This window comes from Homo sapiens, chromosome 9 (genome assembly GCF_000001405.40).
Source record: "Homo sapiens chromosome 9, GRCh38.p14 Primary Assembly".
NCBI lineage: Eukaryota > Metazoa > Chordata > Mammalia > Primates > Hominidae > Homo > Homo sapiens.
This window is the reverse complement of record NC_000009.12, coordinates 87,094,144-87,102,976: the sequence shown is the minus strand read 5'-3', so window position 1 is coordinate 87,102,976 and position 8,833 is coordinate 87,094,144. Positions and strand designations below refer to the sequence as shown.

The following is an 8,833-nucleotide window of genomic DNA, read 5'->3' as shown; positions in this document are numbered from 1 at the left end:
TCAGAGCACTAATTTTACACTCATATTCCTAAAAACCTCGAAGGAAAAAAGATATGCATATGAGACAAACAAATATCTTCTTATACCATACATCACTTATCCATGATAATTACGGCCACTCAGATGAATTACCCCAAATTATGTGCAATGACTGTACCATTCAAAGTCTACTATGGATATCCTATGGATATCCAACTATCTGCTATCCATAGTAGACTTTGGTACAGTCATTGCACATGATTTGGGGTATAACAAGATATTCTTCTGTGTATAACAAGATATTCCCTCCTATGAGTGCAGCACGGATTTTTCTGGTCAGGAACAAAGGTTTATTGGGGAAGGAGGAGGAGTAGTCACAGGGTCCATTTGAGCTTTACCCTCAGTACAACAGGTTTGATTTGGTCATTTCTGTAGCTGCAGGGTCAGCACTGACACACTCCTGCACAGAGCAAAAGAGAAAAGGCATCAGACGCAGACTCCTTGGTTCAGGGTTTTCTCCCCAGATTACTGATGGGGGCCAAGGGCAAAGCTGAGAGCTGCAGGCTTTCACTTGGTGTCCCCATTACCACATATTGCCAGCCCATTGTCTAATGCAACTGTTTAAAACTCTTACCAAAGGCCTTGGACAATGGTTTCCACTTCTACTGCCAACTCAGAGGCCAGGAAATGAGTTATAAAGCATCAGCTTAAGTTCAACACTGTCATTGATGCTATATGTAAACAATACGAAGCATTTTACAATTTTAGGCAATCTGCAAAGCAAAATAAGACAAGCAATGGAAAAAAAAATTAAGAAACGATTGACTTAGGAGATGAAGTTGACGCACATGATTTTATTCTAGCTCAAACTTCACTTTTCATGGGTGATAAAACTGAGACAGCAAGGGGCTGAGCGATTTTCCAAACCACATCCCCAGTTGGGATTAGATTAGCTCTTAGTGTATCTCCTTTTAGTCTGCCAGGGCTCCTTGGTCACTCCGCAGTAGTTAAACTCCTAGGTAGTTAAACACACTTTGGGCCGGGCACGGTGGCTCACGCCTGTAATCCTAGCATTTTGGGAGCCCAAGGCGGGAGGATCACGAGGTCAGGAGTTCGAGAACAGCATGGCCAACATGGTGAAACCCCGTCTCTACTAAAAATACAAAAATTAGCCGGGCATGGTGGCATGCTCCCAGCTATTCGGGAGGCTGAGGCAGGAGAATCGCTTGAACCCAGGAGGCAGAGGTTGCTGTGAGCTGAGATCGCCCCACTGCACTCCAGCCTGGGTGACAGAGCGAGACTCCATCTCAAACAAACAAACAAACAACCACTTCAGGGCAATCTAACTCACCGTGAATTACCTGCTTTTGGTTCCTTTTCTAAGCATACTAATAGCTGCCCACAGTCTGTTAAATATTTGCTGTACTGGATTTTACTTAAGAATCCTATGAATTATTTTCTTACCATATGAGTTGAATGCTTAAGCAGAATCAGCTAAATTTGTTCCCAAACCTGTCTCTGTCAGTTGTCCTTGTTAATTGTCTAATTAAATTAAATATAAATCAATGAAAATTAAATTTAGAAAAATAATTTTCTCTATAAAAATTAAACTTAATGCTTTGAACAGTTCTAGGAGAACTGTAAAGTTTTTGGGGAAAAAAATCTTCAAAATCCAGAGAGATTCTGCTCTCTCATGGTTTTCTTGGTTTTGATTTAAGATCTTGCTTCCTTTAAGAAGAAATTGAAGCTGGGAGCTACAAAATACTTATTTTTGTTGTGGTTCATGTATGAAAGACAATACAAAACTTCAATCAGCTATCTCCAAAATCAAAGAATAATCCTGGCCCTGTATCAAATGTTGGTAAACAAATGTAAATGTGTATATTTTGAATTAAAATAAATTACACAGAGTATGTATCATTTTTATAGTGTATCTTCATGATATCTGTATTTTCTGATTGACCTGCTACGTATTTGTCATATGGCATAAGATAACAAGAAAGCTGCTACTGTAAAAGAAAAGGAGAATGTATTACAAAGTATAAAAGGTTAAGCCTGGGCGTGGTGGTTCATGCCTGTAATCCCAGCTACTTGGGATGCTAAGGCATGAGAATTGCTTGAACCAGGGAGGTGGAGGTTGCAGTGAGCCGAAATGGTGCCACCGCTCCCCAGCCTGGGTGACAGAGCGAGACCCTGTCTCAAAAAAAAAAAAAAAAAAAAGCCAACATCCCTGCAAAAGTATTTTAGAGCTTTATGGAAGTAGACATTCTTTAATTCAGTGTTCATGGCAACTTTATAGAACATAACTTCTATCAATGATGAGACTGTGTTTGTCTTTGGACATGACTAATTTGCATTGCCGTCAATCATCTACAGCTTACAAAGTTGTAAAATAGTTCAAAATAAAAGACATAGATATCCCATAAGGGTACTCTGGGCACAACACCCAGTTATCTTTTTTTGCCAATTTCAAAATCTTCCACAATTTTTTCTGACATGAATATTTTTCTTGGTCACTGGGTTGGTTCAGTTGTTTTGATAAAGCGAAATAAACAGCGGTTGTCAGTCTAAGAAGTAAGTTCTTTTAAAATATCTACTTGCCTGCTAAATCCTAATCCTTTCACATTTAAAAATAATGTGATCTCACTTGTAGTCACATTTGCATATATCAATCATTTGATGATTTTTCTTGGGAAATTATGAGGCAAATGGAGTCAAAAGTAGGTGAGGAAGTATTAGGTAAGAGAAAGCAGGAGGTAGACAGATAAATGAACTCATTCAACCCTGGAACGTCTCAGGGAAGCAGATAAGATTTAGCCATTTTGCAGAAGAGGAAACATAAACTCTAATAAGTTAAATAATGCTTAAGAGGTCACAAATGAATAAATGGATTCAACTCAGTTCTTCTGGATCCAAGCCCAGGGCTCTTTCCACCCACAAATACCCTTTCTATGTTCTATCATGAGTTATGAAAACCATTTGTCTCACCTTTTCCCTCTGGGTTGGTGGTAACGACTGGAAGACTGATTCATAGTCTTAGTGCATTATATTAATGTCTCTATGCCAAGTATCCTTATTTGTTGTATGAAGCGCTCTTTATTTGTTGATTTTTATTTTTTATTTTTATTTTTGCCTACAGTCTCAATTTTGCTTTTTTACCTTAGAAAGAGGAAAGGAAAGTAGAATTGTTGGGCTTGGCTCTGAGAAAAAAAATAAAAACAGGCTACAAGTCTGCAGAATCTATGAAATGCTTTGAGAGTCAGAAGCTGAGCATGAGAGCTGAACAAATTCCCAATACTCATGTGTAGTTAGATATTTTTGTTTCTTTTGTTTGTTTACTGTTTCTGCATTTCCTATCTGTACCAAGATGTAATCTCTAGAGGCCAAAGTGAAGAAACAGCTTACATAACCGTCAATTCTTTTGGCTTTTGGATGAGTAACAGGTGTTTAGTAGTTAAAAAAATTACTCAGAGGTTACAACACCAATTTCTCAGTCTCTCAGCTATCAGTCTTTAGATATATGGCTGTGTGCCCATCAAAACTGTCTTTCTTAAGTGTATGTAGCACTGTCTGATTTTAGATAGTAGGTGATGGGCAAATAGACAGATAAATGATAGAAGATGTTAGATGGATAGATAGACATTTAGATGATAGGTAGATATTAATGACACATACGTATATACTACCTACATACATAAATACATAGTATAAATAATTTTTTCCTTTTTTTAAGTTCAAAGGTACATGTGCAGGATGTGCAGGTTTGTTACAAAGGTAGACGTGTGCCATGGTTGTTTGCTGCACAGATCATCCCATCACCTAGGTTTTAAGCCCAGCATCCATTAGCTATTCTTCCTGATGCTGTCCCTCCTCCCACCCAACCTCCAACAGGCCCCAGTGTGTGGTTCCCCACCGTGTGTCCATGTGTGTCATTTAGCTCCTACTTATAAGTGAGAACATGTGGCATTTGGTTTTCTGTTCCTGTGTAAGTTTGCTGAGGATAATGGCCTCCAGTTCCATCCATGTCTTTGCTATTTGTTACAAAGACATTAGTGCCATATAGATCCTGAATTTTGTCTAATCTTAATTTACCTGACATATGTTATGCTCAAGGACCTGTTTTGGCCGCAAGTATGATCAATAGACTCTACATTTTATATATAGGTGATACACAAATAGACAAGTAGCATTAATTCATTCCAATAAACACAGTATAATGAGACAATGATCCAAGGCAATGGCATACTCAAAGTGACAGAAAATCAATAATTCCATCAAGGAAATCCAGAAGAGGCCTCTATATACATATTCTTTTATATTTGTCATAAAGAAAAACCAAAGGCTTCTGTGAATACAACAACAGATGTAACGTAGCATGGTGACTTTTTACTTAGCTAAGGTGGAGCTGGCTTTCCAGACTTGCCTTCACTGTTTAATTCTGGGTCAGGATTGGCCATAGGGAAATGTGTGTGAGATTTCAAAGGTGGCAGTGAGGCAATAGCCATTACACCCCTAAGGTCAGCGTAGGGCACCTGGTGTCACAGCAGCTCCCCATGTGGGTGCTGATTAGTGAGCTCCCCTGATGGCAAGGGCAGTGGCTGGGCTTCAGGTGTCCTGGCTCCTGTCCATCTCCTCCTTCTGCCTGTCTGCATCCTAGGCCAGATACAGGTGCGCCTTGTGGTGAAGACTGCCAGCTTGTTATCACGAGTCACCTACATAGCTGAGGTTGAAGGTAGAGAGACAGATGCCGGCTGGAGAAATGAACTTCAAGTGGGGAGACTGGATTCTGGTCCAGGTATTACCACAGCCTCATTGTGTGTTTCTGGAACATCACTTGACTTCTCTGTATCTCTGTTTTGTCAGATTACATGAACGTTAGTTGCAGCTCCAACTCAAAGTTTGAGAATGTTAATAAAACACCTCCATAGCATCTACAACTTATTGAGACATTATGTTCACCAGGAGTTTTAGAATTAGAAAAAAGTAGCCGGGCGCGGTGGCTCACGCCTCTAATCCCAGCACTTTGGGAGGCCAAGGAGGGCGGTTTGAGACCACCCTGGCCAACATGGTGAAAACCCGTCTCTACTAAAAATACAAAAATTAGCCAGGCGTGGTGGCGCACACCTGTAATCCTGACTACTCAGGAGGCTGAGACAGGAGAATTGGCTTGAACCCAGGAGGCAGAGGTTGCAGTGAGCAGAAATCGCACCACTGTACTCCAGCCTGGGTGACAGAGCGAGACTCTATCTCAAAAAAAAAAAAAAAAAAAAAAAAAAGAAGAAGAAAGCTAGCAGAATGTTTTTAGTCAAATGAAGCTATGAATCTAAGATCCCCATTAAAATATAACTTTGCATATTAATTTTTTTGCAAAGTTTGAAATTAACTTTGAATCATTCAAAATAGCAATCTAAATATTCACTGACGAATGAATGAATTAAGAAAATGTGGTATATACATACAATGGAACATTATTCAGCCTTAATAAAAGAAGGCAATTCTGCCGTTTGTGACAACTTGAATGAACCTGGAGTACATTATGGTAAGTGAAATAAGCCAGACACAGAAGACAAATATCACATGACCTCACTTACATGATGAATCTTAAGAGCCAAACCCATAGAAGCAGAGGGAGAACCATAGTTGCCAGGCACTGCAGGGAGGGATTAATAGGAAGGAATTAGCCAAAAGTTACAAAGCTTCAGTTATACAAGAAGAATAAGTACTAGACATCTACAGGATAGCATAGCGCCTATTGTTAGAAATGCTGTATTGTACATTTAAACTATTTGCTGACGGCAGATCTTATGCTAAGTGCTCTTATGACAAAAGACTACAAATAATAATAATAATAAATAAAGAAGGCAGGAGGAAACTTTTGTAGGTAATGAATGGGTTTATGGCATAGCTTGCGGTGATGGTTTTCACAAGTGTAACTTATCTCCAAACTCATCAGGTTGTACGGATTAAATATGTAAAGCTCCTTGTATGTCAGTCATTCCTCTGTAAAGTAGTTTAAAAAATAAAAAAGAAAATTAACTTTGTTTACTTGATGTTGAAGTACACTTTTGTTATAATGTTTTTAAAAATTATTAATACAGGACAAGTGCACAGTGTCATGTGCCATATGACTAACTCCAAAAATCTAAATTCCCAGAGCATATGTGCCTGTGAAACAGCCAAAAATATCAATTGCTGTAAGACCTGTGCTGTCCTAAATACCTGTAGGTGTCTGAATTACAGGAATCCTGCAACCGTGACACAGCACACGTTTATGCTCTGTTCAGTGAAGGGTGGCAGGAGAGTGTCTGTGGGTCATCTGATAGCCTTCCTTTCTTTGCCCTGCACATTTTTGATAATTTCCCAGGACATCTCATCTGAGCCATTAGGGTACAAACATGTCCCAGGAGCTCTTTCATTCTTATACATCAAATAACAGAGATGAAATGCAAAGTTGGAGTAAAAAGCAGATTGGCATGATTGTAGGATAGAATAGGGGCTCTCTGACAACTCTTTTCAATAAGAAGACAATGGGGTGAACTCTGGCAAGACCAATCCATCCACCCCCCAGTGAAAAGCTGCATGTTGAAAACATGCTGGTGAGATAATTTTATTCGTCACCACCGTCTCAGTACCATGATCCATCATCAAAGAAATCACGATGGTGTTGATAAGAGCTACTGCAATAACACCACCTTGCATTTCCAAGGGGCCCATTTCTGAGCTGCTATTGTGCTATTTCTTCCCCCATTTAATGACACAGATGTCTACATCCAAATGCACCTGTGTTTAGAAACATAAGGTTCATTATGCGAACAGAGCCCTGAGCCCCTCCTGACCATTCCTCAGGCGAGAACAATGGCCACATACATACATCCGCAGAGCCAGCCAGCCCTGGAATTAACTTCCTCGATGGCAGATGTGTTCTTGGACTTCAAAATTCTAAACCAGTAAGAGCAAATTACAGGATTAAGGGATTTAATTCTTATTACATGAGGAATGCATGCACATTGATTATTTTCTGCTAGTGATGGGTAAACAATGGTTTTCATTTAAAACACAAATATCTCATTTAACAGAAAGGACAGGAGAGGGCAGGGAATAGAATGTGTAGGTGATTCTCAAAAGGGTTGAAGGAGCTGAGGGGTCATCTCTCAGGGGTCTGGTTTCTTACAAAGTGAGAGTGAATTTCTTTCCGTATCTGAAGCATTTAGTTCAAGAGTTATGCAAACATCTTTCTGGCATCTTATCTGTATTAGGCATTGGGGCCATTCTCGGAGAATTTTTAGTACGGCGAAGAAGAAATATTGGTTCCTCATCCATTTTGCTCATCTCCCTCAGCTGCCCTTAGCTTATTCTGTAGCATCAGTCCTTGGGGTGGTTGTTTGTGTTACCAGGAAATGTGAATAATTTTGGCGAGACAGTTTCCAACACAATTCCTTTGCAAGTACAGAGAACTCAGAAACTAGGCATAGGCCGTCGTGAGCAGTAGGGTATGTATTCCTGGGTACCTGGGCTCAAGGTCAGTGCTTCCTCAGCAATTCAACAAATGTTTATTAAGTGCCTGCTAGATAGAAGGACCTGCCTGTATTCTAGGAAGGCAGACAGATAGTCTGCAAGTAAGTAATACAGAAAATATCTGACAGTTGTAAATGTGTTGAAGAGAATACAACTGGGTGATGTGACCAGGTGAATGGGAGACTCATTTAGCTAGGATGGTCTAGGAGGGCTTCTTTGAGGAAATAACATTTAAGCTGAAAACCGATTGACGAAAGGAGCCAGACATGCAAGGAGGGAAAGGGAAAGGGATTCCAGGTAAGGGGAATTGATTATGCAAAGGCTGTAAGAGAGGAACCCACTTGGCCTCTGCATGACATAGAAAGAAGGTCAGTGCCACTATGATCAGAGTTGGTGTTAGAGAGATGACAAGATCTTATAGGGCCTTGTAGGCCCTGGTGTGGAATTTAGATTTTAATTTATTTTGGTGTTTCTCAAACTTCAGTGTTTGTTAAAACACAGACCAATGGAACAAGTTAGAGAATGCAGAAATAAGGCTGCACACTTACAACTATCTGATCTACAACAAAGCTGACAAAAACAAGCAGTGGGGAAAGGACTTCCTATTCCATAAATTGTGCTGGGATAACTGGCTAGCTATATGCATAAGATTGAAATTGGGCCCCTTTCTTACATCATGTACAAAAATTAAGTTAAGATAGATTAAAGACTTAAATGTAAAACCAAGAACTATAAAAACCCTGAAAGACAACCTAGGCAATACCCCTCTGGACATAGAAACAGGCAGAGATTTCATGACAAAGATGACAAAAGCAATCACAATAAAACCAAACACTGACAAATAGGATCTGATTAAAGAGCTTCTGCACAGCAAAGGAAACTATCAACAGAGTAAACAGACAACATACAGAATGGGAGAAAACGCAAGCTATGCAGCTGACAAAGGTTTAATATCCAGCCTCTATAAGGAACTTAAATTTACAAGAAAAAACAACCTCACTACAAGGACATGAATAGACACTTTCCAAAAGAAGACATACACACAGCCAACAAGCATATGAAAAAAACTCAACATTACTGATCATTAGAGAAATGCAAATCAAAACCACAATGAGATACCATCTCTTACCAGTCAATGGCTATTATTAAAATGGCAAAAAATAACAGATGCTAGCTAGGTTGTGGAGAAAAAAGAATGCTTATACACTCTTGGTGAGAGTGTAAATTAGTTCAACCATTGTAGAAGACAGTGTGACAATTCCTCAAAAACCAAAAAACAGAAATACCATTTGACCCAGCAATCCCATTACTGGATATATACCCAAAGGAATGTAAATTG

The 8,833-nt window shown here is 39.4% G+C and overlaps 1 long non-coding RNA gene across 1 annotated transcript; it reads right to left on the bottom strand.

The window, feature by feature from the left end:
- Positions 1-306: 306 nt before the first annotated feature.
- Positions 307-804, bottom strand: LOC124902197 (uncharacterized). Its single transcript, XR_007061639.1, has 2 exons — positions 614-804; positions 307-439 (listed from the first exon to the last, which is right to left on the bottom strand). It is a non-coding gene; the product is annotated as an uncharacterized LOC124902197 (long non-coding RNA).
- Positions 805-8,833: the final 8,029 nt, after the last annotated feature.